This window comes from Homo sapiens, chromosome 17 (assembly GCF_000001405.40).
Source record: "Homo sapiens chromosome 17, GRCh38.p14 Primary Assembly".
Taxonomy (NCBI): Eukaryota; Metazoa; Chordata; class Mammalia; order Primates; family Hominidae; genus Homo; species Homo sapiens.
This window is the reverse complement of record NC_000017.11, coordinates 1162907-1190745: the sequence shown is the minus strand read 5'-3', so window position 1 is coordinate 1190745 and position 27839 is coordinate 1162907. Positions and strand designations below refer to the sequence as shown.

At 55.7% G+C, this 27839-nt stretch overlaps 1 protein-coding gene and 1 long non-coding RNA gene across 4 annotated transcripts in view, besides 1 other annotated feature; one reads left to right on the top strand and one right to left on the bottom strand.

The window, feature by feature from the left end:
• Positions 1-27839, top strand: part of ABR (ABR activator of RhoGEF and GTPase) — a 226204-nt gene that overhangs the window by 38977 nt on the left and 159388 nt on the right. Inside the window, exon 1 of one of the 3 annotated variants that reach the window (NM_001159746.3) lies at positions 3474-3946. The exons of 1 other annotated variant lie outside the window; for it this stretch is intronic. Coding sequence is in view for 1 of the 2 variants with exons in the window: in NM_021962.5 (NP_068781.2) it covers positions 11019-11079 (61 nt within the window). In the remaining variant the exon portion in view is untranslated. Of the gene's footprint in view, positions 1-3473; positions 3947-10764; positions 11080-27839 lie in introns of those variants that run through there. One more of the 3 variants, NM_021962.5, reaches the window with a different exon arrangement.
• Positions 385-9119, bottom strand: ABR-AS1 (ABR antisense RNA 1). Its single transcript, NR_187271.1, has 3 exons — positions 8818-9119; positions 8435-8479; positions 385-1031 (listed from the first exon to the last, which is right to left on the bottom strand). It is a non-coding gene; the product is annotated as an ABR antisense RNA 1 (long non-coding RNA).
• Positions 9958-10724: an enhancer, noted in NCBI's record as "H3K4me1 hESC enhancer chr17:1083316-1084082 (GRCh37/hg19 assembly coordinates)". NCBI's record gives its function as "activates a minimal SCP1, AML or CMV promoter by ChIP-STARR-seq in naive H9 embryonic stem cells {active_cell/tissue: H9 hESC(naive)}" and the evidence as "EXISTENCE:reporter gene assay evidence [ECO:0000049][PMID:30033119]".

The window sequence follows — 27839 nt, the reverse complement described above, 5'->3', positions numbered from 1 at the left end:
GAGAGCAGACGGGACGGGCACCCACCTAGAAACTGCTTTCTTCCCAGGGAAGAGCTACTGTTTACCTCCCTCCCCGAAACATAAGTTTTTTTGTGTGTGTTTTTTTGAGATGGAGCCTCACTCTCTTGCCCAGGCTGGAGTGCAGTGGCACGATCTCAGCTCACTGCAACCTCCACTTCCGCCTTCTGGGTTCAAGCGATTCTCCTGCCTCAGTCTCCTGAGTAGGTGGGATTACAGGCACCCACCACCACGCCTGGCTAATTTTTGTAATTTTAGTAGAGACGGGGTTTCACCTTGTTGGCCAGGCTGGTCTCGAACTCCTGACCTCAGGTGATCCACCCGCCTCGGCCTCCCAAAGTGCTGGGATTACAGGCGTGAGCCACCGTGCCTGGCCTAAAAACAAGTTTTATTGCAAATTTGGGACAGGCCTCGGAGAAGGACTCTGAGAACTGAGACCGAAGTTCCCTTAGTGGGCTGAACCATTTCTGGGTTTCTATGCCGTTTCCATGTTGGAGCCTGATTGGATAGAAAGGAGTACAGCCTCCAATACTGGCTGCTGAACAAGGGAACCCTGTGCACTGGGGAATTTTCAGTTAGGGTTTTTTGTGAGCAGTTAGAGAATTAATTGGAACAGCAATTCTCCCACCCCAAATCCCATCCTAGGGGCCATTTGTTCTTTCTTTGCATCTTTCCAGAGAGGGTGGTCATTCTCGACGCGACGTCTCAACCAGCCAAACAGTTCTTTTCCAGCTGGTGGAGGTGGGCTGGGTGGAACACCTGTACTGCCTCATTCCAGGCTCTTTGTGACCAGGAATATGCTTGGTCATTCATTCATTCACACTTGCTCATTCATTCACTGAAACTATTTGTGCAAGGTCCTGGGGTTACAGTGAATAACAGATGTGGTTCCTATCCTCCAAGAGACCTCAGTCTAGCAGGAGAGACAGGCATTGAACGTTTACAAGAGTCCTGAGCATTCAGAAGCAGGGAACGACGCAGGCCTTCCTGGTCTGGTGGGTCGGGAAAGCTCCCTGGAAGACAAGATACTTAAGTTAAGACCAGAAGGGAGAGTAGGAGTTACCCAGGCAGAGTGGGGGTAGAGCGTTTTTGCCAGCGATGTCAACCTATGCAAAAGTTCCAAGGCAGGAAAAAGTAGAAGAGAGCAAGGAGCAGAATGTGCCAGATGAAGCTGAAAGGGGTGCAGAGGCCCGGCCACAGGTTCCTTAGGCCACCAAAAGGATGTGCGGGTCTCTATCCCGACAGCAGTGACTCGGGAGACTGAGGCGGGAGAATCACTTGAACTCGGAGGCGGAGGTTTCAGTGAGCCGAGATTGCACCATTGCACTCCAGCCTGGGGGACAAGAACGAGACTCTGTCTAAAAAAAAAAAAAAAAAGGAAGCCATAGACAGGTCTTAGTAAGAGAGGAATGACATGCTACATGTGTTTTAGGATGTCTTAGAGCAAGCCTTCAGTTGCTGTTAGACACTGGGAAACTCTTTCCTCTAATTGATCTTCATATCTTTGATGTCAGTCTCGTGAGCCTGGGACTGCTCCAACCAACGGACCCAGCCAAAACGTGGCCACTGTGGCCGGAGTCTCACCCTTCTTCACTCTCCTTTCGGGAGAACACGAGTCATGTGTGCTAGTTTCTCGTGCCAGCTCCTGGCACCGGACTGTGTGTTCATGAGACTGAGCTGACCAGCTCAGGACAAGGTGCCAAGAGCTTGGGGAAGAGGAAATTAGGAGTCACGAGGTTTCACGATCAGAACCCGAAAGTGCTTTATGGAAAATTTGCATGTCCTGGGTGCAGCTCAGCCTAAGAGAAGCTGGTGCAGTGATTTCAGGGGTGTGTGTGCCTGGCTTCTGGGAGGGGCAGCCAGAGGCACCGGCTTCCCTTGTGAAGGCAGCTGGGTCAGACTGCCCCCTCCATCCACCCCTACGTTTATGAAGGCGAAATTTAGTAGGAAGGACATCCAAAGCAGTGTGATGGGGAAAGAGGACCAGCTGGGGGTGAGATGGGAACTCGCCATCCGCCATCCTGTTTTCCCCAACCAGGTAGAGTTCTCAACGCTCTTGGCACTTACAACAGATGTTCTGTAGGGCAAGTCCTGTAGGACATTTTAAGATTTCTGGCTTCTGCCTACTGAAGGCTAGTAGCGACCCCTAGTTATTGTGACCTCTTTTTTTTTTTTTTTGAGACGGAGTCTCCCTCTGTCACCCAGGCTGGAGTACAGTGGTGCGATCTTGGTTCACTGCAAGCTCCGCCTCCCAGGTTCAAGCGATTCTCCTGCCTCAGCCTCCTGAGTAGCTGGGACTACAGGCGCCCGCCACCATGCCCAGATGATTTTTTGTATTTTTAGTAGAGACGGAGTTTCACCGTGTTAGCCAGGATGGTCTCAAATTCCTGACCTAGTGATCTGCCCGCCTCGGCCTCCCAAAGTGCTGGGATTACAGGCATAAGCCACTGCAGCTGGCCTATTGTGACCTCTTTAAATGCTCCCACACATTGTTATTTTTATTTACTTATTTGTTTTTTTGAGACAGGGTCTCGCTCTGTCTCCCAGGCTGGGGTGTTAGTGGTACGATCTCAGTTCACTGCAGCCTCGATCTCAAGTGATTTTCCGGCTTCAGCCTCTTGAGTAGCTGGGACTACAGATGCCCGCCACCATGTCCGGCTAATTTTGTGTTTTTAATAGAGACAGGGTTTCACCACATGAGCCAGGCTGGTCTGGAACTCCTGACCTCAAGTGATCCGCCTGCCTTGGCCTCCCAAAGTGCTGGGATTACAGGTGTGAGCCTCTGTGCCCGGCCCAATTTGATAATATTTTATTTATTTATTTATTTATTTTGAGAGGGAGCCTCACTCTGTCGCACCCAGATTGGAGTGCGGTGGCATGATCTCGGCTCACTGCAACCTCCGCCACCCAGGTTCAAGTGATTCTCCTGCCTCAGCCTCCCGAGTAGCTGGGATTACAGGCACCCACCACCATGCCCGGCTACTTTTTGTATTTTTTTAAAGTAGAGATGGGGTTACACCATATTGGCCAGGCTGGTCTCGAACTCCTGACCTCAGCTGATCCGCCCACACTGGCCTCCCAAAGTGCTGGGATTACAGGTGTGAGCTGCCACACCCGGCCCATTTGAGGATATTTTAGTGAAGGTTTTGTCCGGCGGGATGATCATTCTCCCCATGTCACTCCTGGGGGCTTCTGCTCTCTCCTTCCCAGACGGAGCTCCTCCTGACTCCCCCAGCTGTGTTCCCAACAGCAGCCTGCAGCCCTGTGTCCAAGCTGGAGATTTTTGTCCAGGCACTTGCGGGCCGCTTGGCTGGAAGCCTCTGGTGGCCGAGGTGCTGCTGTGCGGCCGCCAGATGGCGCTGGGGAGCCCCCACTCTCTGCCGCAGGACGGGCAGAGGCAGGACTGGACTGCAGAGGGAACTTGCCTTGAAGAGGCCTGGTCCTTAAAGAGACACAGCACACACGGCCCGACCGGCAGCCCCAGAGCAGAGGCTCCACTGATGGCAGGCGCCCCTGGCTAGGCTCTGAGGTTCCTTTGCCCTCGCCTTGCTGAATGGTGAGCCGCTGCCTCTCGGAGCCCGTCTCCTTGACAGCCTGCCCTCGGCTCCTGCAGCCACTCCTGGGCCTGATGGGGACAGGGCCAGCCTGGTGGGTGGTGTCAGAGGTCCTGGCAGAGCAGCGTAGGCCTGGGATGCGTCTGCAGAATTCTGGCTGAACGAGCGAGGAGCACGGCCAGCTTCGGGGCCGTCGTGACCACAGGAGGGCAGAGGGCCAGCCCGTGAGCTCTGACCCCAGCTGGACGTGCTCTTGTTTCCCTTGGGGCTAAGGAGATTGGAGCCACTGAACTGAATCTCTGGGTTTTGGAGACTTAGAGAATCCATTGGACTCTTCTGCTGGCGTCTTTCTGAATGCTGATGGGGACTTGGTGGTAAGTAAATGAGTAGGGGGCTCCAGGCCCTGCTGTCGAGCCCTCGGACGGACCCTTTGGGAAAACTCTGCTGTTGACCTGTGGGTGGTGTCATCTGAGCCATGTCAGGTGAGGGCCACGTGAGCTGGGGCTTGGCGAGAGACCCTCCTAAAACGGTGGCTCGGGGAGTGCATAATCTAAGCCAGCGGCTCTGCCCAGGATGCTGCCCTTGCTGTGGCCCCTGGCCATGGGAACGGGGCTTCAACTCGGCCCCTGGGAAGTGTGTGGGGGCGTGTGGGGAGTGTCACAGCTGCAAGGACCTGATGTCACTGTGCTTTATCCTGCAGTGATGCCTAGGGAGGCAGTGAGGGGGTGAATGCAGCTCCCCGGGGAGCAGGTCCACATCTTGCCAGGGCAGCAGGTCTTCCCATGACTCAAGCTGACACAAAAGTTTGGTGCAGAAATGACTAACTGGGAAGGGCTTCCAGTTCACCTCTGTTGCCTGTAGATCTCACTGGCTGCTGGAAAAGCCGGGAGGCTGAGCAGAGGGCAGGTGAGAAGAGGGCAAAAGACAGACTCATAGGCTGAGACTTCACCCTTACAGGTGACACTGTGGAGGCCTGGGGAATTTTCTTCTTTCCCCAGACTGGAGGGCTGAGGATGAATCTTAGAATAGTAAATGCTGGCCGCACATGGTGGCTCACGCCTGTAATCCCAGCACTTTGGGAGGTGGAGGCGGGCGGATCACCTGAGGTTGGGAGTTCGAGACCAGCCTGGCCAACATGGCGAAACCCCATTTCTACTAAAAATACAAAAAATTGGCCAGGTGTGGTGGCGGGCTCCTGTAATCCTAGCTACTCGGGAGGCTGAGGCAGGAGAATCGCTTGAACCCAGGAGGCAGAGGTTGCAGTGAGCCGAGATCCTGCCACTGCACTCCAGCCAGGCAATAAGAGTGAAACTCCATCTCAAAAGAAAGAAAAAAAAGAATAGTAAATGCTGCTTTACTGTACCAAGGAAATGGGAATAGAGCAAAGCACGGAAAACAGGCCACCCCAGGATCTGACAGGAGAGTTTGTATTCTGCTAGTGCTCATAGGAGGCCTGGAGGTCGTCTTCTTGATCCACCTGGGCACATACCTTCTTTTTTTTTTTTTTTTTTTTTTTTTTATTTCTTTCTGAGACGGAGTCTCACTCTGTCACCCAGGCTGGAGTGCAGTGGCACGATCTCGGCTCACTGCAACCTCCACCTCCCAGGTTCAAGCGATTCTCCTGCCTCAGTCTCCCGAGTAGCTGGGATTACAGGTGCCCGCCACCACGCCCAGCTAATTTTTGTATTTTTAGTAGAGACGGGGTTTCACCATGTTGGCCAGGCTGGTCTCGAACTCCTGACCTCAGGTGACCCGCTGGCCTCGGCCTCCCAAAGTGCTGGGATTACAGGCGTGAGCCACTGTGCCTGGCCCTGGGCGCATACTGTCTACAGATGTGAACACTGAGGCTGGAAACTCTTGAGATTGGCCGGAGGCATTGAAGAAGTGGGGTTTGGCCGGGACTGGCATTTGGGAGATTGTCACTGGACTTTGTTCAGCTTGTCTCCAGGGTCATCTGGCCTGCTGTAGTAGATATGGTTTTCTTGGGATACCAGTTCTCTTTCTACTTTATCATCAGTGGCCCTGGGAGGGTTCTGAAATAACGCTGCCTGCCTCCCTCGTGTAGCTCCGATTTCTTCCTCCCTGAGTTTAACTTCATTCTGTTTATTCATTCATTCACTAATTGCCGCTCAATGCAGAGATTACACACGGGAACCCTGGATTCAGACTTGGTTCATTTCCAAGCATCGCCATCTGCTAGTTAGCCAATGGCTTAGCCTCTCTGCACCTCAATTTCTTCTTCTGTGAAATGGAGATAATAGTAAATTGGCTTATTGTAAGGATTACGTGAAATAACCTACGTAAAGCAGATAGAGCAGTGCCTGACACTTAAGAAGCACTCAGTAGACCAGGCACGGTGGCTCACATCTATAATCCCAGCACTTTGGGAGGGTGAGGCAGGAGGATCAGCTTGAACCCAGGAGTTCAAGGCTGCAGTGAGCTGTGAGAATGCCCACTGCACTCCAGACTGGGTGACAGAGCAAGACTCTGTCTCAAAAAAAAAAAAGCACTCAATAACTGTTAGCTGTCATTAATTTTATTTGTTCAATGTGCATTATTGAATGCCGATCTGCTGGGCGCTCGGCAGAAAGCTGATCTGGAGGCACCATGTGGTCATAGCTGTGCTGGGAGTCTACCTGAGCCTTGTTCACCCACTGCGCTGAGCACTGGGTCTGCCCAGTGAGGAAGATGCAGTCCTGGTTTTTTTATTTTTTATTTTTGAGACGGAGTCTTGCTCTGTCCCCAGGCTGGAGTGCAGTGGCGTGATCTCAGCTCACTGCAAGCTCCACCTCCCAGGTTCACACCATTCTCTCGCCTCAGCCTCCCGAGTAGCTGGGACTACAGGCGCCCGCCACCATGCCCAGCTAATGTTTTGTATATTTAGTAGGGACGGGGTTTCCCCGTGTTAGCCAGGATCGTCTCGATCTCCTGACTTCGTGATCCACCCACCTCGGCCTCCCAGAGTACTGGGATTACAGGCGTGAGCAACTGTGCCCGGCTCTGGCTTTTTTTTTTTTGAGAGGGAGTCTCACTCTGTTGCCCAGGCTGGAGTGCAGTGACAGGATCTCGGCTCACTGCTGGGATTACAGGCACATGCACCACGCCTGGCTAATTTTTGTGTTTTTAGTAGAGACGGGGTTTCACCATGCTGGCCAGGATGGTCTCGAACTCCCAGACTCAGGCTATCTGCCCATCTCGGCCTCCCAAAGTGCTGGGATTACAGGCATGAGCCACCGCGCCTGGCCAGTCCCAGCTTTTAAGGACCTGATGGGCCAGTGAGGGTGCAAACTCTCGGTTTTTTGGTCATCACAGTCTATTTTTGGTTTTGGTTTTTCATTTGAATGTAGAGGGCCCCACTCCCTCCCACCCACTGTGTATTCAGCCTCTGCACGCACCGGGGCTCCCTGCCTGGCCCCCGCATGGGAACATATTTTTGTCATCAGCGGTGACCTCTGGGTGATCAAGGAAGCAGAGACTCCTGGGGCCTTCCTGTCGTGTGCAGTGGAGCTGAGCTGCTAACATGAGAAGGGAGGAAATGTGGAGATACCCAGTTTTGGTTCTAGGGCCCGTCCCCTTTTTTCTGTCCTGGCCAAGAACCAAGGCTTCTACCTTGATTGGTAGAAGCAAGAGTTGGTCGTTGGAGAGGCCGTGAGTAGCACGTGCTTGGGAATTAGGAGCAGGGCAAATAGCCTTGAAAATGGGATGTACCTTCTTCCCACTCAGCCCCTCGTCATTAACCCAGTGCTCCTGGCGGTGCACCCAACCATGAAATCCCCTTTAAGTCCAGTGATGAGGCAGGAGCAGGCAGGTCACCCTGGGGTTGGAGAGCCGCAGACAGTCTGAGTGCACAGGCTGGAGGGAGGGCTGGGAGGGTGGAGAGCACTGGCCCCAGGGACTGTCTGGGGAATGCTTAGAAGGGGCCTGGAGGAGGCAGCGTGATAGATGGGGGTTCAGTGCCTTGGGGAGCACTGGCTGGTCCCCACCCGGTCCACATTTAGCTGAATCAGGAAGGTCTGTCTGCCACAGCTCCCCGCTCCTCTGACAGATTGGGGTTGATCGCTGGGGTTAGAGCACTTCAGGGTAGCATCACCTTTGGCAAAGCCCGGAGGAGAAGGACTCTTTAACTCCTTCCTTCCCAGCGCGTGACGTTGGATCTCCCCAACTCCTCAGTGCCAGGGATGCGGAGGTTTCTGTTCCCACCCAAATCACTGTGGTGCTCAAAGGCTCACACACTTGTCTCTGTGGCCAAGGTTAGCATCTGGCCGTGGTGTTAACATCTACTGGAAGCCATCCAACAAAGGCATCAAGGGAATCTCGAAGTGACTGCCCTTTCCTGAGACACGTTGTCTGAGACAGACGTCTGGAGATGGAAGAGGGTTGACAGGGTTTCCCAGAGGGTGGTCTCTAACCCCATGGACCCGCAGAGATTTCTCAGGACCTTCAGCACCCGGTGATCACCAGTTAGCTGGCCGTGGAGGCAGTATGCGTGGTGTTTAAGAGCATGAACAGGCCGGGCGCGGTGGCTCACGCCTGTAATCCCAGCACTTTGGGAGGCCGAGGCGGGCGGATCACGAGGTCAGGAGATCAAGATCATCCTGGCTAACAAGGTGAAACCCCGTCTCTACTAAAAATACAAAAATTAGCCAGGCGTGGTGGCACGTGCCTGTAGTCCCAGCTACTCGGGAGGCTGAGGCAAGAGAATGGCGTGAACCCGGGAGGCGGAGCTTGCAGTGAGCCGAGATTGTGCCACTGCACTCCAGCCTGGGCGACAGAGCGAGACTCTGTCTCAAAAACAAACAAACAAACAAACAGAAAAAGAGCATGAACAGAGTGCCAGGGTTCAAGTCCCAGCCCTCACTTACCCTCTGAGTGGGTTACTCAGCTGCTCAGGGCCTCGGTTTTCTGACCTGGAAAATGGAGAAAACAGAGATAACAGTGACATTCACGGTGAGATCACGCTAGTGAACGAAACGCTAAGCCGGGCACACAGTCGGTGTTCTGTGTTCGTTATCAGAAGTTTCCTCTGTAGAGCCCTCAAGATTTGTCTCTCCCTCTACCCTCTATCGTGTTGTGGAGTGGAGGGTCCGAGAGTGCCAGGATTGGACAGAATGTAGACAGAAAAAAGCAAACTATGGCAACGCGAAGGAAAGCAACTGCCACATTTTAGCTTGGAGGATGCTGAAAATAGCTTGTTCAAGCCTTTGTAGATAAAAATGTAAAATGTACGCAAATGTATGTGACTCACGCAGAAGCATACATCCATAGCTCCCTCACAGTCAGCGCCGGATGTGGCCATCAGGAAAACCCCACAGTGTGGGGAGAGGGCCCGAGCGTTCTTGCTTGTTGTTGTTTTGAGGAGGGGACGGTGCTGCTGCCTCCTGGGCTGGTGGCTCCTGGTGGCGGCAGCTCACGCCCGTTTCCACCTTTCCCCTGGGCTGTCTTCCGAGAGTTCCAGGTGGGAAGAAGAGATGCCCTTGGCCCCTCATGGCTCCTCCGGCCTCGCGGTCCTCCGAGAGCCTGCTCGTTCCCTTCCCATGCCGAAGCTCTATTTCTGGAGCGTCTCATTGGAGATGCACGCCCCCTCCCTGCCAAGCTCCAGGTGCCTGCTTGGCCCTCCCAATCCTGTGTGCTAGTCAGGGACGGTGGGAGGGTGACAGCTGCAGGGAGGGGCGGCAAGAGACAGCGCTGGTGCCTGAGCCAGGAGGATTGGGGCGGAGGGAGCCCTGGGGACGCAGGGACGGGCTAATAATATTGAAAACCACTTCTGCTGCAGCCACCTGTAGAGGCTTCCCCACCCAGAGCATCATCCTGTGCGTCTCCCAGGGGCTCCCCAGCCTGTGATGAGTGGGTGACCCCCATCTCCCCTGGGGCAGCTGCAGAGGCCTCTGCCCAAGCAGCTTATGGGGCTTCCTCTCAGCATCCTGGGGGAGGAGCTGCTTCTCCCCTTAAGAACTAGATGTGTGTGTGTCTGTTTGGAGTGATGAGGACCGACCCCCACACCCCTCCAGCGTTCTGCGGGTGCCGACCACACTGCCCCCGGCAAAGGCCAGGCTGACTTAACCTTCCTGGTAGGCCTCTGTAGGGCTGGGCTCCCAGAAGTTTTCCCCTTAAGCTGCCTGGGGATGGGGTGGGGTGGAGACAGCTCCGGTATCTGAAATGTCACTATCTGGGGTACCGGGCCCCCTGGGTGGGCCCCACTGCTTCCCTTTCCCTGGGTTCAGGAAGGGGCTTCAGCCCCACTGCCCTGGACCCCCCTGGCCTGACTCCCCTCCTGTCCTTCCCTGCTCCAGGGTCGCTTGGCCCAAAGAGGTCTGTGGGGAAGCTGCCATGGCTCCCACAGAATCAGCCCACAGGAGACAGGCATGGGGCCCCCAATCTCTTCACTGCCCTTGGGCGAGGGGGTCTTCCTTAGAGGGAATTTCGTCTCTAAACGGTCATTTCTCAGGCCTCTTGACCCGACTTCCCACCATTTCTAGGTGATGATGCAAACACGATGGGCTTTCCAGGCCGCGGCTCGGGGTCCCCAGGAGGGGTCCTGGAGGGGAACGCGTGGAGCCCTTGGGGCTTCTCCTGGCTCCAGTTTGTCCTCCGCCCAGGAGGGGCACATGTGGGACTGTCCTGGCCCCACAGCCCCCGTGACTTCGGTCCTCCCGGGTCTCCACCCGCCCCCCTCCATGTGTGGCGGGAACGGCCGCGCTCAGAGGTCAGGGGTGTGGAAAGGGACGAGCGGGGGAAGGTTCGGGAGGAGAGAGGCGCGTCCCGCGGCGCGCAGGACGTTCACCCCGTGGGTCCCGCAGCGGGTCTGGCTGGGGAGGGGCCCGGCCGCCGCTCCCGCCCGCGAAGCCGCGCTTGGAGATCCCGGGCGGGAGGTGATGTCACCCCTGTGGGCTCCCGGGCCCCCCACGGCACCTGGTTTGCGGATCGCCAGGATCCTGCTGAGCCCGGCGCGGGGGGGACGAGGGGGACCTGGGTCTGCGCCGCCGCCTGGAGACCCCCCGAGACCCCCGCGGCCCCTCCTCGCCCAGCGCCGGAGCCCCGCTGCCCCCTTAGCCCGGCCGGGGGCGTCCTGCGGAGGGCGGAGCCTCGAGCCGATTGGTCCCTCCCCGCCCCGCCCCCGCACCAAAGCCCCGCCCCCGCACCAAAGCCCCGCCCCACCACGAAGCCCCACCCCCGCCCCGCCCCCCGCGAAGTTGCTCATCGGTTCCGGGATCCGCAGCTGGGCTCGGCGCGGCCGCTGGGGCCGGGAGGGTTCGGGAGGGTTTTGGGGGCTCCCGCCCCGCCCTCGCCCCTGCCCCGGCCGCCCCGCGCTCCTCCCGGGGACCTGGTTCCCGGCCTCCTCGCCCCTCCGCGCTCGCAACTTCGGCCTCCCCCGGCTCCCGCCCGCTCTCCCTCCTTTGTTGCGCGATGAGGGTCGGGTTTCGGATCTGACCGAGCCGCCGCCGCGGGATGGAGCCGCTCAGCCACCGGGGCCTGCCGCGCCTGTCCTGGATCGACACCCTCTACAGCAGTACGTGTGCCGGGCGGGGGCGGGACCCCAGGATCGGGATCGGGACCCCAGGATGGAGATCGGGACCCCAGGATCGGGATCGGGACCCCAAGATCGGGATCGGGACCCAGGCACCGGGCTGGTCCGGGGAGCGCGGGCGGGGGCGAGATCGGGGTCCGGATCGGGGTCGGGTTGGGAATCGGGATCGGGGTCGGGACCCAGGAGCCGGGCTGGTCTGGGGGGCGCGGGCGGGGGGTCCCCAGAGAGGATTCCTGCGGTCCGGGGGCGGGGACCGTGGGCGGACCGAGCCGAGAGCTGCGTCCCCCCTCCCACCTGTTGTGAACCCGGCCTCCGCGAGCCTCAGGGGAGGGAGGCCCTTCTGGGTGCTGCCCCCGCCCCTGGACCGGCAGCTTCTCTGTCCAGGCTGAAGCCGAAAGGCCGTTTTGGGAGCAGTCGTTGGCACCCGAGTTTGCCACCCCAGGGGCACCGGGTCATGTGTGGTTCAGGGCCCAGGGGTTCGGTGCTGGGGTGGGATCGGGTGGGAGGGGAGACGGGGGGTGCAGATATCCGCGGGGGCCGTTTGGATGCGGGAGCTGAAAATCCCGGGCTCAGCAATCTTTCCTGCCAGCCTCATCACCACCCCCACCCTCATCATCACCACCACCCTCAGAAGAAAAAAAAAACAAACCTTCTCGAGTTCTCCACCCCCTCGCTCCCAAATCTCTCTGGATCATGTGATTGCTCTTGCATGGCCCCGGGGGATGCGTAACTGATCACGGGTAATGGTGTGGGGGGGCTTGGGGCGAACCGAGAGCCGCCCCCCGCCCCCACCACCGCACCTTGCTCCTGCTCCGTTGCTAGAAAGGCACCGCCCCTTCTCCCCACCCTTCCCTGAGACACCTTTCCCGAAAGCTCTCAGGGATTAGGAAGAGGGTCCTCCTGGGCTTACATAGTGGATTTCGCCCTTCCTGGCCCACGTGAGTGGGACCCTCCCACTCTCTCAGCACATCTCCCAGGCAGGAGTTGGGGGAGGCACGTGGGGCCACGTGGAGCCTGGTTCAGCCTGATTCTAGGCACTGGATGCCATGGAACAGGAGCGTTTTCTTTCTTTTTTTTTTTTTTTGAGACGGAGTCTCGGCTCTGTCGCCCAGGCTGGAGTGCAGTGGCGCAATCTCCGCTCATTGCAACCTCTGCCTCCCGGGTTCAAGTGATTCTCCCGCCTCAGCCTCCTGAGTAGCTGGGATTACAGGTACCCACCACCACTCTCGGCTAATTTTTTGTATTTTTAGTAGAGATGGGGTTTCACCATGAGGCCAGGCTGGTCTCAAACTCCTGACCTCAGGTGATCCACCTGCCTCAGCCTCCCAAAGTGCTGGGATTACAGGCGTGAGCCAACAAGGGCATTTGTAAGGGTCATCCCAGCTAGAGTTCCTTGATAAGTCATATGGGGGGGGTGGGGGGAGTAGAGAAGGGTGATGCCTTGAGCCCCAAAGCCTTACTCTGGAGGCTGTGTGGTACCCAACATTCAACCTCTGACCTCAGCATCCCCTTGGGTCCAGGTCATTCCCTGTATCTTCTTCTCCACCCGCCTCCTCCTCCATCCATGTTCCTTCCTCTCCTCCCCCCAGGAGCTGTCCTTGTGATGGTTCATTCTGCTTTGGTTTCTCAACATCAAAGGGGCAAAGCCGGATCCCCTGGGCATAGGTCCTGTGCCAGGTGCCGCCGCTCCATCTGCTCCTTCCCCTGCAGAGGCCAGCGTCGTTGGGTGAAGGTCAGGGCCCATGGCTGTGTGGCATGTGCGTGCACGTGCGTCTGCATGAATGGGGGCACACATCTGTTCGGAGCGCAGATGCAGATCAGCTCCTGACCCGGAGGCAGGATTAGTGGCCCTCTCTTAGCTGTGTGCTTGCAAACAGCCGTCATAACAATGCCTCAGATTCACGCGTGCTTATGTTCCTGAGTGTTTCTGGCTCTTTGCAAAACCCAGTTCTTGTTTCCCTATTTCCCGAAGCCTGGAATCGTATGGAACCCTGTCTCTAGCTTTCTCTGCAGCAGAAGACTCCTCTGAGCTGATCATTTCCAAGTCTTCCATACCCCACCCTCTTCCTCCCACGCCTGGAGCAAAAAAGCAAAATTGCCTGAGGCCACCTTGAAAATTCCTGACCAGAGGAATGCCAGAAAAGGGAATTAGGCCAAGGCCTCTTAGGGGGTTCTGTTGGGCAGCCCTGATTCAGGCAGATTGGCACCTGAGCTGTCTACCCTCCTGCTGCTGCCCTGGCCTCTGGGCGGCTCCTGGGGTGGCCTGGATGGTGGGTGGGAGGGGGCACTGATGTGGCCGCAGTGTGAGGAGTCCCTGCCTCCCTCTTCGGAACAGCTTAGTGGAGAGCTGTAGCAGGAGGCTTCCCGGGGAGGTGCTGTGCAGTCATGTTTGGGCTGTTAGCCATCAACTTTCCTCTTGACAAGAGCCTAAATTAAAACAAATACCCGAGCTGTCATTTGCCTGGCAGCAAGGTTTTGTGGCTCCCAGAGGAAGTTCCTCTGCTTCTCAGGAAGCTGTTTGCTTACAAGGCTCACAGTCCTGGGGTGACAAATCTCCACAAATGCCAGATCCATCGGGAACTGTAAAGGGGGTATACCCAGGGCACAGGGTGGCAGTGTGACTTAGAGATGGGAATGACTCGGTGTTAGAGGTTCCCTGCCTTCCTCTCTCTGAGCATTGTTCCTGGTAACAATGATAATAGCGTCTCCTGAGCACCTACTGTATGGCAGGCACTGGGATAGTCACTTTCTCTTTCTTTCTTTTTTCTTTTTTTTTTTTGTTTTTTGTTTTTTGTTTTGTTTTGAGACGGGGTCTCCGTCTTTGCCCAGGCTGGAGTGCAGTGGTGCGATCTTGGCTCACTGCAACCTCCACCTCCTGGATTCAAGCAGTTCCCCTGCCTCAGCCTCCTGAGTAGCTGGGATTATGGGCGCCTGCCACCACAACCCAGCTAAGTTTTGTATTTTTAGTAGAGATGGGGTTTCACCATATTGGTCAGGCTGGTCTCGAACTCCTGACCTCAGGTGATCTTCCCACCTTGGCCTCCCAAAGTGCTGGGATTACTGGCGTGAGCCACTGCGCCCGGCCTGTGCTAGGCACTTTCTATCCATTCTCTCCAAATCTCACAACTCTGCAACTCTTACAGAGTAGGAAAGTGAGGCTCAGTTAGCATAAATCATAGACCTAAGATCACATAAGTAACAAATGGCTGAGCTGGAATTCAGGTTGTACCCTAGAATAATGAGGAGGATCCCGAGTACCACCTGGGTATGTCTGAGTTTATTCAAGGTCTTGGGATGTCACGGAATGGGGGACGCCATTCTCTATGGTCCTCTGTTGCAGAGTTCTCCCTGAAACGGTCCAGCAGGGTAAATGGCTTCAATGGCTCTGACCCCAACCTGGCCCTGTGCCTCTTGCAGGACCTGGGGGCTGGGCCTGGAGCCCAGGCAGGGACAGCTGAGGCTGTCTGAACCCACTGAGGCTGGTGGCTCTCTGCTCCTAAGGTGCCAGCCTGCCAGCCAGCCCCTCCCCTCACACACTTCTTTTTTTTTTTTGACACGGAGTCTCGCTCTTTCACCCAGGCTGGAGCTGGAGTGCAGTGGCACTATCTCAGCTCGCTGCAAGCTCCACCTCCCAGGTTCACGCCATTCTCCTGCCTCAGCCTCCCGAGTAGCTGGGACTGCAGGCGCCCGCCACCACGCCCGGCTAATTTTTTGTGTTTTTAGTAGAGACGGGGTTTCACCGTGTTGGCCAGGATGGTCTCGATCTCCTGACCTCGTGATCCACCCGCCTCGGCCTCCCAAAGTGCTGGGATTACAGGCGTGAGCCACCGCGCCCGGCCCTGAACACACTTCCTGCCTTTGGGGTTGGCAGTTCATTCTTTCTGGTTTTGACAGGAGGAGTGTGCCCACTTCCATCACAGGTTTGGTGGTCATTTGATGAGGGTTGGGCAGCAAACCCTCCATCTCTCCTATGGTAGAAGTCCTGAAGGGCTGCGGTAAGTGTGATTTGTCTGCCTCAAGGAGAAGAGTTGGATCCCAGCTGCCAGGGGCCCTGGGGCTGATGGGAGCAGAGTCCTTTCCCTGTGGAGTGACAGATGGTTTCAGACATCCCCCAGTTCTTGTGTCTGCGCCACTCATTTGCCTGTATTAATGTAGCAATGTCAGTTTCACCCCTCAGTACCTTACCTTTCTCTCCCTGGGGTTGCTATGATGCTCTCTCTGAGGCTCTCTTTTTTTTGAGACAGAGTCTCGCTCTCTCGCCCAGGCTGGAGTGCGGCGGTGCGATCTCGGCTCACTGCAACCTCCGCCTCCCCGGTTCAAGCGATTCTCCTGCCTCAGCCTCCTGAGTAGCTGGGATTACAGGTGCCCGCCACCACACCCGGCTAATTTTTATATTTTTAGTAGAGACGGGGTTTCACCATGTTGGCCAGGCTGGCCTCCAACTCCTGACCTCAGGTGATCCACCCGCCTCGGCTTCCCAAAGTGCTGGGATGACAGGCGTGAGCCCCTGCGCCCGGCCATGTTTTCTTGGTCATAATGCCTCTAGGTCTTTAATCACCCTTTCTGCTAAACACGTATCATCTTCTCTTTGTTATTTTTTTATTTTATTTTTTTATTTTTATTTTCCCAATCCCATGGGATTAGATTGGATTAAATGGGAGCGGAGTAGCCCAAAATGGGGGTGGAGGTGTGCTCTGACACTTTCTTGGTCCCTGGGATTCTCCAAGCAGATCTGGATCAAGACATACGTGTGCCCCAGGCAGGTTGATCATCTGGCACCTCTTCAACTGGAAAATCTTTATATGTGTGTTTAGGACTTACTTAGAGGAGAGGCAGAGGCTGTATTTAAAGCCTCTCCCTTTGCCACTTCGGCCTCCATTTGGTCCCAAGTAATTTAGTCCTGGTGTCAAACATACCTTCCCTGCTGAGCCAAGCAAGAGCCTGCAGTGGCTTGGCCGTCATGGAAGGCAGAACGTGACCATCTGTTGTTACTAGAGCCTGCTTTTTGGAGCTCACTTCTCTTACCCCAAGCAACATTTCCAAGGGCGATTTCATTCTCTTGTGATATTTTCATGCCCTTTATAGATTCAGTGCCCCATCTATGGGCCAGGAAAGTATTTGGAGCAGTGGAGATGTAAGCCTGTCTCCAGGTGAGCATGAGCCTACCTCAGTTTCTCATCTGAGCCCCACATTCTCTACACCAGGGACCAAGCCACTGGTCTGACAGCCTGTGTGCGTTTGATCAGAGCAGTTCAGTTCTCGGGGCCGCATCAGACCCCTCCGTGTGTGCTAGTGAGCGCCTGCTGGCAGATGCTTGCTTGTTTTCGGAATAGCCCAGTAATTTATTCCTTTTTGTCAACACCGGCCCATAATCTTCATGGCTGCTGGAGTCTCAGAGGTGGGGCTGGCAGAAGAATTAAGTCATCTACTCAGAGAAACTTAGGTTTCTGTGGTTGTGATTGTTGGCTACTGTTGTTCTTCGGGAAAAGGAAGGAAATTTGTGGGGAATTGGCTGGAAGATGCTGTTAGGAGGATGGAAGATGGGGAATGGCGGGGAGGCTCTGCCTCACTCTTGCGAGTAGGATGGAAGACTTGTTCTCTGTCTGAGGTATGATCTGCTTTCTGGGACAATTCCGGTACCTTCCTTCGTAGAGGGAGGGCATGATGGCTCTCGTGGGTGTTGTGTGGATTAATTCATATTTATAAAGTGCTTTGAAGGTGAGGAGAGCTATTGAGCAGCTCAGCTGTCCAGCTCATTGCGCTCCTCATCCGGGAAAGCCTCGAGGGACTGGGAGAGGCCGGCACAGGACTTAGGAAGGGGCAGGGAATGTGGCAGGAGGACCGGCAGGAACAGGGTATCAGACCAGCTCTGAGGCAGCGCCTCCCACAGCGGCTCCCGCACAGGCCCTCCATAGGTGTTGGTTGTCTGAGTACGGGTGGGAAAAAGAAAACTCGAGTTCTTGGCTCCTTGAGCTCCTCCCCGCAGCAGAAACCCCTGTTAGCTGAAACCTGTCAGCTGGCCCGTCCATGCGTTTCCGGCTGTGTGGATTTGGTCATTGTACTCGCTCGTAGTGGAGTCAGAGACCCCCAAAGGGAGTCTCGCGCTTTTGCCAGGGTTTATGATTGGAGGACTTCACTGCCAGCGTTGGCGGCAGCTGTTTGGCTGAGCTTGAGCCCTTTGGGCGCAAACCTAGGGCAGGCGGCTTCAAGACAACCCTGCGCCCACTGCCCCTGCCAGGCCCTTGGTGGTGGCGGGTGTTGGTGATGTGTGGGGGGTGGGCTGAGGTGATGTGTTGAGTGGACTGAGGTGATGTGTTGGGTGGGCTGAGGTGATGGGGGGGGTGGACTGAGGTGATGTGTTGGGTGGGCTGAGGTGATGTGTTGGGTGGGCTGAGGTGATGTGTTGGGTGGGCTGAGGTGATGTGTTGAGTGGACTGAGGTGATGTGTTGCGTTGACTGAGGTGATGTGTTGGGTGGACTGAGGTGATGTGTGGGGGGTGGACTGAGGTGATGTGTGGGGGGTGGACTGAGGTGATGTGTTGGGTGGGCTGAGATGATGGGGGGGGTGGACTGAGGTGATGTGTTGGGTGGACTGAGGTGATGTGTTGGGTGGGCTGAGGTGATGTGTTGGGTGGACTGAGGTGATGTGTTGGGTGGACTGAGGTGATGTGTTGGGTGGGCTGAGGTGATGGGGGGGGTGGATTACCTGCTCTGTTCTATATTCTTGGCACTTTTCTCCAAGTGACTGTTTGTACCAGGGGGAGAGTTCTGCAGCTCACCCATCTCTGGGGCTGTGATAGGGGAGGCTGTTTGTGACATGTGACCTTGGCTTGTCCCCACATGTGAGAAAGTCCATTGCTGCTGTGGGGAGTAGCTTGCTTTTCTTTTCTTTTTTTTTTGAGATGGAGTCTTGCTCTGTCACCCAGGCTGGAGTGCAGTGGGGCAATCTCGGCTCCACTGCAACCTCCACCTCCTGGGTTCAAGCGATTCTCCTGCCTCAGCCTCCTGAGTAGCTGGGATTACAGGCATGTGCCACCACACCCAGCTAATTTTTGTATTTTTAGTAGAGACGGGGTTTCACCATGTTGGCCAGGATGGTCTCGATCTCGTGACCTCGTGATCCACCCATCTCGGCCTCCCAAAGTGCTGGGATGACAGGTGTGAGCCACCGTGCCCGGCCCAGGAGTAGCTTGCATTTCTTAGGGCAAGATATGGTCAGTTGGGGACATGACGCTGCTGGGAGCAGCGGGAATGTTCCACTGGTCCCTGAAGCTTGAGGAGAACCTGACCCAGAGACCTTGTGAAGGGGGAAGGAGAAAGAAATCAGGCCAATAGGCAGGCTACGGAAGGCACCCCCGTATGGAGGCTGAAGATAATGCCCAATCCCACCCCTGCCTGGGCATTTGGCAAAGAGCCCTTTGAGGCGGGACCATCTGAGGCCGTGGCCACTTGTGGATGGAGCAGCGGGTTCTCTGTCCCCGGGTCGAGACCTGACTGGGGCCTCTCGCCCAGTTTTTTGTCCAGGCTTTATCCTGTGTCCTCCTCCTGCCCTTCCTTCCTCCCCACACACACTAGACCGAAAGATGAATCTGGGTTTACTGGCTGTATGGAAAATGTCAGAGTCAGCCTGGGCTTCAGTAGATAGAGCCAGATGTGGTCGGCTCTGTGGTGACCTGATTGATTAATCGGGTGCCACTCCCCTCTTTCTTCATTTTTTTGAGACAGATTTTCACTCTCGTTGCCCAGGCTGGAGTGCAGTGGTGCGATCTCGGCTCACTGCAACCTCCGCCTCCCGGGTTCAAGCAGTTCTCCTGCCTCAGCCTCCCGAGTAGCTGGGATTACAGGTGCTGCCACCACGCCCGGCTAATTTTGTATTTTTAGTAGAGAAGGGATTTCTCCATGTTGATCAGGCTGGTCTCGAACTCCTGACCTCAGGTGATCCGCCCACCTCGGCCTCCCAAAGTGCTGGGATTACAGGCGTGAGCCACCGTGCCTGGCCTCACTCACCTCCTTCTTGTCCCTGCCCTCACCTCTGATGCCTTGGTGTGCCTCTAGGTCACAGGTGGACATGGCACACGTGATTGGGCATCTTGCCTAAGGCTAGCAGGGTCTCCAGGAAGTCTTGGGTGGCTGGGAGGCCTCAGGTAAACCAGAGCCAAGGAAGCTCAGAGTCCTTGTCACTCCGGGCAGCTTGGCTGCTGGACTCCCCGGGGCATCGGTGGAGCTGGTGCTGCCTAGAGAAGCCTGGTATTGAGCAGGGATCTGTGGGCTTACTCGGGGCTGTTGGGGAAGGATGTGGCCATCATTACCTTCGTGGGATTGAAGGGCTGCTTCTGTGAGTGTTCTGGGCTAACCCCTTCCTCCTGGGCAGCGGCTCCTGGTCAGCAGCAAAGGTTTAATGGATCGAGATTACGGGGACCAAAGACGCCGTGTAATTAAGCCAGTTATTTCTCTGGCTGGGAACATCTACTCCTCACAGCCGCAATTGACTTCGTCACTTGTGGTTACCCCGTTCGCGTTACCTCGGGCCTAAACAGCCCATACGTCATCTTTTTGAGGGAGTCTCTCCCTTGGAGGCAAAGTTTTAGGAGAAAGATCCCTCTGGGAGTTGTAGAGTCGGCGTGGCAGTGTGTGCTATTGAAGGTGAAGTTTTAGGAGAGAGACCCCTCTGGGAGTTGTGGGGTCAGCGTGGCAGTGTGTGCTATGCAAGAGTGCCCCCTGCAGTTGTTCTGTGCAATGGCGCCCACGGGAGCCTCTTTGGGAACTGTGTCTGGGTTCTGTAGAGGGACATAGATAGAAACCTCATCCTTGGGTCTCCCAGGATCCTGGGGTCCCGTGAAAAGAAAGTCCATCAGTCCTGATGGATTCATAGAAACTAGTTTTTAATTTGGTTTAGAAAGAATGGAAGAGACAGGCCAGGCACGGTGGCTCACGCCTGTAATCCCAGCACTTTGGGAGGCCGAGGTGGGTGGATCACCTGAGGTCAGGAGTTGGAGACCAGCCTGACCAACATGATGAAACCCCGTTTCTACTAAAATACAAAAATTAGCCAGGCATGGTGGCAGGCACCTAGAATCCCAGCTACTCGGGAGGCTGAGGTAGGAGAATTGCTTGAATCCGGGAGGCGGAGGTTGTAGTGACCTGAGATCACGCTGTTGCACTCCAGCCTGGGCGACAGAATGAGACTCCATCTCAAAATAAATAAATAAATACATAAACAAACTAAATTAATTAATTCAAGGTCGCAGACTACAAGCCAGGGACTGTGCGCTCGGTTGGCCCTGCTGTAAACTGTGTTCTTTCTCCCGCACTCTTACCCTTCACAGCGGTGCTGGTGGGGGCTCCTTGACGCTGGTATTTCACTGAGGTTGATGGATCTGGGTTCATTTCTCTAGCTAGAAAGACAGTTGTGAAGACTGCGTCTTGCCCCCAAGCCCCCGTGATATGAGGAGACAGCCCTCTGCCCCAGGCATCCTGGAAGCACTGGGAGCATCCACCAACTGGGCTGCCTCTTCCTAGGGGCATGAGCCTAAGGAGGTCTCCTCATGGGCACTTGGAGCCCACGTGCCTGCATTGCTGTGTTCCTGGAATTATTGGCAAGAAGTGCTGATTGTTAACATACACAAACACACCCCCCCCCCACACACACACACACAAACACAAACACAAACACACCCCCCCATACAAACACAAACACAGAGAAAGGGAGAGTGAGAATAGACTTTGGCGGTTGGGATGGAGCAGGGCCAGTGCCCAGTTTCTAGAGCGAGGCCAGGGGCGAGGACGCGGGGATTTGGCAGAGCCCAAGCGTGCTGGCCCTGCTCTCCAGCCTTTTAAAATCCACCTCCACATTTCAAAAGGAAAATAAAGAGAGCCCTCAGCCATAAATCAGGCCACTGAGCATCGAGGTCCTTTGCCGAGGCCCAGGGCCTGCTGGGCTGCAGAGCCAGCTGCTGTGTTTGAACTCTCCCGCGCGCAGCATGTTAATGACGGGGCAGACCCTCCAGACCCAGGCTCACACCCACGACGGCCCTCGAGCCCAGAGAGTCCCCCACGGAGAGGTCAGCCCCTGGGGAAGGCCTGTGTCTGGGGGGCTTACACCTTAGCGGAGCCCCCTTTGGCTGGGACTTCAAATCAAGCCAGACCCTTCTGTAGCTCTGGATTCTGGCCAGATGAAAGGTAACCCCTGACACAGATCTTTTGAGCCCATTTCCCAATAGGAATAAAAGTAACAAAGCAATTGATTGGACACCTCACGGGTGCAAGAGTAGAGCGAGCGTTCTCACATTCGTGATCTCATTTCATCTTCACAGTAAACCTATGAAAGGTTGTTACCCTGATTTTAAGGATAAGAAGGGGGATTGGCCATTGTTCTTGGCCTCTGCTGGTGACTTCTGCCATGGGGGGCACCCTGAGGGGGACGCACCAGGTCTTCTCTGCCCTCCTCTGCTCACCCTCTTCCTGCGTGGCGGAAGCTCAGGCATCATCTGGCTTTGTGAGTGCCTCTGTCTAGACAAAACCCACGTCCTCCCTCCCTCCTCTTTCCCCTGCAGGGCCAGCTTTGGTGTTAATGGAGCAGAAAGCCTTGGTAGTTACTTTGCGAGTGCGTCACGGGGAGGGTCATGAGAGACCAGCTGGCGTCCACCCAGCCGCGTGGAACAGCCACCTTGACTTGGTCGAGGCCAGCAAGCGTCTTGCAGACCCCGTGGCAGCTCCTGACCCACGTTCCCCCTTGGGAGGCCTGGATGAGCTGGGGCACCAAGTGCCATCTTTGGGTGTAGAATCTTCAGAAACCAAAGGCAGGAGCTGATTCGGTCTCCTGCTCCCTGGGAAGAAAGGATGGAACGCACATTGGCTGTCAGGAGAGCTGCTGCTTCTAGCCGGAGGACCTTGCTGCAGCTGGTCAGCTGCCAGCACAGCCAGGCCCTTGTTGTGGGTGCCTGCCGTGTCTGTCCTCAAGCCCCTCCCTGAGTGAAGGACACTGTTCCCTTTCCAACTGCCTGTGGCTGTGCTAGACCATTTTCTCTCCTTTGCCCAGAAACCTTCAGTGGGTTCAGTGGGGCATTGCCTTTCCCACCACATTCAGTCCAGACTGGGGGAACCTCTTGTTATCCATTCCAGTTTCCCAGCACACTGCCCATTCTCTAGCCAGTAAGGCCTCTCACCATCCTGCAAAGCTCTGTGCTCCAAGGATCTAACCAGCTTCAAGCCTCAGCTCAGCTACCACCATCTCCAGGAAGTCCTCCAGGCCTGATTCGAGCACTGGCCTTAGTGAGATCCCTGGCTCAGAGTCCCTAATGCTGATTGCTCCGGCTCACATCGCTTAGCACTTTCTTATCTTTTTTTTTGAGACAGAGTCTCGCTCTTGTCGCCCAGGCTGGAGTGCAATGGTGCAATCTCCACAACCTCTGCAGTGCTCACTGCAACTTCCACCTCCCGGGTTCCAGTGATTCTCCTGCCTCAGCCTCCCGAGTAGCTGGGATTACAGGTGTGCGCCACCATGCCCGGCTAATTTTGTATTTTTAGTAGAGACGGGATTTCTCTATATTGGTCAGGCTGGTCTCGAACTCCCGACCTCAGGTTATCTGCCCACCTCGGCCTCCCAAAGTGCTGGGATTACAGGCGTGCGCCACCACGCCCGGCTAATTTTTGTATTTTTAGTAGAGACGGGGTTTCACCATGTTGGCCAGGCTGCTTTGAACTCCTGACCTCAAGTGATCTGTCCGCCTCGGCCTCCCAAAGTGCTGGGATTACAGGCGTGAGCGACCCGCCCGGCCGATATCGTGTTGTTTTATAGTGTTTACCTGCACAGTGTTTCATGCCAGTTGTCATTTCTTCTCTGCCAGACTCTCAACTCCTTAGAGGCACGAGGGAGAATAACAAAGGCTTCCGTGATAGGATGCCAGACATTGTCCTCTCTGCTTTGCTAACAGTATCTCATTTAGCCTCCGGCAACCTGCTGAGTTCTTAGCCATTTTTATCCTGTTTCATGCTTCCCCAAGACTTCCCAGAGGTCACACAACACATCTGTCTTGACGCCTCAGCCTGTGTTCTTTGCCAGAAGCGCCCAATGCCAGGGCCTGGGGCATGAGACCTCAGGTTGGGGCCCAGGCCTCTGCATGTCTGAAAAGCTCCTCGGCTTACTCCCTCCGCTCGGGGGACCAGCCTTTCACCATGGTGGTTCTCCCTTCCCCGCAACACCCAGCTAGGCACCGAGCAGGTGGAACCCTGGGAAATGCTGCTTTGTGATTGGTTGGAGTCAGGGGTGGCTATGAAGATGCTGCTTTGTGATTGGTTGGAGTTGGGGGTGGCTATGAAGAGACGAAGTGCTCTAGGGCTCTGGGTGTCTGGATCCAGCACTGGGGATGCCCCGGAGAGTCCTGGAGCAGGGAGGATCCAAGCAGGAGGTGGAGCTGGGTGTTAGGAGGGCAGAAGGGCCATCAGAAGGGGATACTGGAGACATCCAACTGGTGGCCTCTCTCTCCGCCCAGCCAGAGCTCAAGGCTTTGCCTCACCCCGAGAAGATAAATCACTGGGGTATCACGGGGTCCCCCAGCCCCCGTGCCATGATGGACATGCACATTTTGATTTGGCAGGTCCGGAGCTCAGATTCTGCATTTCCTTTGTTTGCTTGTTTGTTGTTTTTGAGACAGAGTCTGGCTCTGTCACCCAGGCTGGAGTGCAGTGGCGCGATCTCAGCTCTCACTGCAGCCTCTGCCTCCCAGTTCAAGCGATTCTCCTGCCTCAGCCTCCCAAGTAGCTGGGACTACAGGCGCGTGCCACCATGCCCAGCTAATGTTTCTGTATTTTTAGTAGAGACAGGGTTACACCATGTTGGCCAGGCTGGTCTCAAACTCCTGACCTCAGGTGATCCGCCCGCCTCGGCCTCCCAAAGTGCTGGGATTACAGGCGTGAGCCCCTGCGCCCGGCCTGGATTCTGCATTTCTAGCAAGTCCCAGGTGAGGCCCGCGCTGCCCACACTGGATGGGAAGGACCAGGCGCCTGCAGCATCTGCCCTCCAAGCCTTCGTAGCTCCCTCCTTCCTGCAGGATAAACTCTAAACTCCTTAGCACAACGTGGGAGCCTTCTCAGAGACTGGGTCCAACCCATCTCCAGCCGCAGCCTCCCCTCCTGGCCCCACTGCCACACCCCCGGGCCTCCGGCCACACTGAGCCTCTCCCGGTTTCCCAGGATACAACACTCGCCCATTCATAGTGTGGTGCCTTTTGCACGTGCTGTTCCTCTGCTTGGGGATGCTGTTGGTCTTTCTCAGCCAGGTGAAGAGGACGCTGAATGTCACCTGCTTGAGTATCAGGACCGGGGACTGGGCACTGGACCTAGACTCTTGGCCCTGGAGAGAAGCCCTGCATGGGGCCGCAGCCTGCCCCCGTCCCTGCTCACAGAAAAGCTCAGCCTTGCAGCCGCGTGGAGTCAGACGACTTGCCTGTCCTGCTTTGAACGTGTGGTGTTCCTACCACCTTTGAGTAAAAATAGAGCTGAGAATGACCGAAGTGAAACTCCACCTTGGGCTCTGGGAGAGCAGAGGTGGGACCACGCTGGGGAGGGTGGGTGCGGACACTCCGGGGGCGGGGGCTGAGGCCATCTGCGTGGGCTCTGGGAGAGCGGAGGTGGGGACCGCGCTGGGGAGGGTGGGTGCGGACACTCCGGGGGGTGGGAGCTGAGGTCATCTGCGTGGGCTCTGGGGAGGGGGCCCTGTGAGCCGGGCCAAGCTGCCAGGCACTGGGGGTCTACGCCCTGGACTCAGAGAGACCATGGCACCCTCAAGGCTGCTCTCACTTGAAAATTTTCGTTTTGGGGCTGGACATGGTGGCCCACGCCTGTAATCCCAGTACTTTGGGAGGCTGAGGCAGGAGGATCACCTGAGGTCATGAGTTCGAGACCAGCTTGCCTAACATGGTGAAACCCCGTCTCTACTAAAATATACAAAAATTAGCTGGGCGTGGTGGTGGATGCCTGTAATCCCAGCTACTCGGGAGGCTGAGGCAGGAGAATCACTTGAACCCGGGAGGCGGAGGTTGCAGTGAGCTGAGATCACACCATTGCACTCCAGCCTGGGCAACAAGAGCACAACTTCGTCTCAGAAAAAAGAAAAAAAGAAAGTTTTCACTCTGGGCTGTGGAACTATTTCAGGACTTCCTGAGGGGTTTCCTCTGGAGCTTCCTGAGTTTCCTCCTGGACATTTTGTCTCCAGGTCCCAGCGCCAGGCAGGGGTGGCTCCCGGAAGGGCTGTGGGTGCCACCCTGGCTGACTGCAGCCCTCTCTTGCACCTCCTCCCGGCCATCCACCCGCAGGAGGTCTTCCCCCAGCACTGGCTTGTGAGGAGCTCCCTCTGCCCGGGAGAAAATGGCTCCTCCGGGTCACAGGCTCCCCTCCAGGGACTGAGGGGCATTTTTGGATTGTGGGAAGGCGCTCCAGGGCCCGGTTCTGTGGCCCCAGGCCTGTTGCTCGGCTGGGTGGAGGCACCTCTGCAGGCCGGGAGCTTGGTCTTTGAACACCTGCTTAGCCTATGACCTCCAGCAAGTTATTTATGCTCTAGTGAGCTGTGTTTTTCTCACCTTTAGAATGGGAACAATCTTACCAACCACACTGAAAGCACTGCTGAGTTTTTCAGCAAATAAAAATAAGGATGCCCCGTTAAATTAGAATTTTAGATGAACAATGAATAATTTTTAAATATAAGTATATCCCATATGGCTGGGCATATTGGGAGGCCAGGAGGATCACTTGAGGCCAGGAGCTCGAGACCAGCCTGGGCAACATAGAGAGAACTTGTCTGTAATAAAAATACAAAAAATTAGCTGGGAGTGGTGGCAGACACCTGTAGTCCCAGCTCCTACGGAGGCTGAGGTGGGAGGATGGCTTGAGCTGGGGAAGTCGAGGCTTCAGTGAGCTGAGATCATGCCTCTGCACTCCAGCCTGGGCAACAGAGTGAGACCCTGTCTCAAAAAAAGAAAAGTAAGTATATCCCATACAAAACTTAGGACATAGTAGACTGAAAGCTAGTCTGTTGCTCACCCGACGTTCATGTTCACTGGGCGTCTTGCATTTTATCTGTAGACCGAAAGCTTGTCTGTTGCTCACCTGACGTTCATGTTCACTGGGAGTCTTGCAGTTTATCTGGGGTCCCTGAGTCTGGATTCAGTGCTGTGTGTGACACTTTGCCAGGGTCCCACCTAGATGCTCCGACATCCATGTTCACTGGGCGTCTTGCAGTTTATCTGGGGTCCCTGCGTCTGGATTCAGTGCTGTGTGTGACACTTTGCCAGGGTCCCACCTAGATGCTCCGACATCCATGTTCACTGGGCGTCTTGCAGTTTATCTGGGGTCCCTGCGTCTGGATTCAGTGCTGTGTGTGACACTTTGCCAGGGTCCGTCCTACCTAGATCCTCCGACATCCATGTTCACTGGGCGTCTTGCAGTTTATCTGGGGCCCCTGCGTCTGGATTCAGTGCTGTGTGTGACACTTTGCCAGGGTCCCACCTGGATGCTCCGACATCCATGTTCACTGGGCGTCTTGCAGTTTATCTGGGGTCCCTGCGTCTGGATTCAGTGCTGTGTGTGACACTTTGCCAGGGTCCCACCTAGATGCTCCGACATCCATGTTCACTGGGCGTCTTGCAGTTTATCTGGGGCCCCTGCGTCTGGATTCAGTGCTGTGTGTGACACTTCGCCAGGGTCCCACCTAGATGCTCCGACATCCATGTTCACTGGGCGTCTTGCAGTTTATCTGGGGTCCCTGCGTCTGGATTCAGTGCTGTGTGTGACACTTTGCCAGGGTCCCACCTAGATGCTCCGACATCCATGTTCACTGGGCGTCTTGCAGTTTATCTGGGGCCCCTGCGTCTGGATTCAGTGCTGTGTGTGACACTTTGCCAGGGTCCCACCTAGATGCTCCGACATCCATGTTCACTGGGCGTCTTGCAGTTTATCTGGGGTCCCTGCGTCTGGATTCAGTGCTGTGTGTGACACTTTGCCAGGGTCCCACCTGGATGCTCCGACATCCATGTTCACTGGGCGTCTTGCAGTTTATCTGGGGTCCCTGCGTCTGGATTCAGTGCTGTGTGTGACACTTTGCCAGGGTCCCACCTGGATGCTCCGACATCCATGTTCACTGGGCGTCTTGCAGTTTATCTGGGGCCCCTGCGTCTGGATTCAGTGCTGTGTGTGACACTTCGCCAGGGTCCCACCTGGATGCGTCTTGCTCATCTTGTGACTTGCTTCTCTCTTTTGTGCCACCCCCTGGCTCCTAGAGGCCAAGCTGAAGAAAAGTTTCTATGGAATTGTCACAGAAACATTGAGATTTTGCTTTTACAGGGTCGATACAGAGTCGACACAAAAAATCACGATGCGATTGATGCAGAGTGGCCAGTGATAATAGCTAACGTTAGCCTAGCGCTTGCTGTGTGTCCTACACTGTTGCAGGCACTTTGTCTGTATTAACTCCCTTATTCTTCACAAAGTCTATGAAGAAGATACTTATCATCTCCAGTTTACAGGAGAGAACAGAGAGGCACAAATTAATGGAGCAAAAGATTAATGTTCATGTTCTTTTTTTTGAGATTGAGTCTCGCTCTGTCGCCCAGGCTGGAGTGCAATGGCAGGATCTCGGCTCACTGCAACCTCCACCTTCTGGGTTCAAGGGATTCTTTTGCCTCAGCCTCCTGAGTAGCTGGGACTACAGGCACCCAGCACCAAGCCCAGCTAATTTTTGTATTTTTATT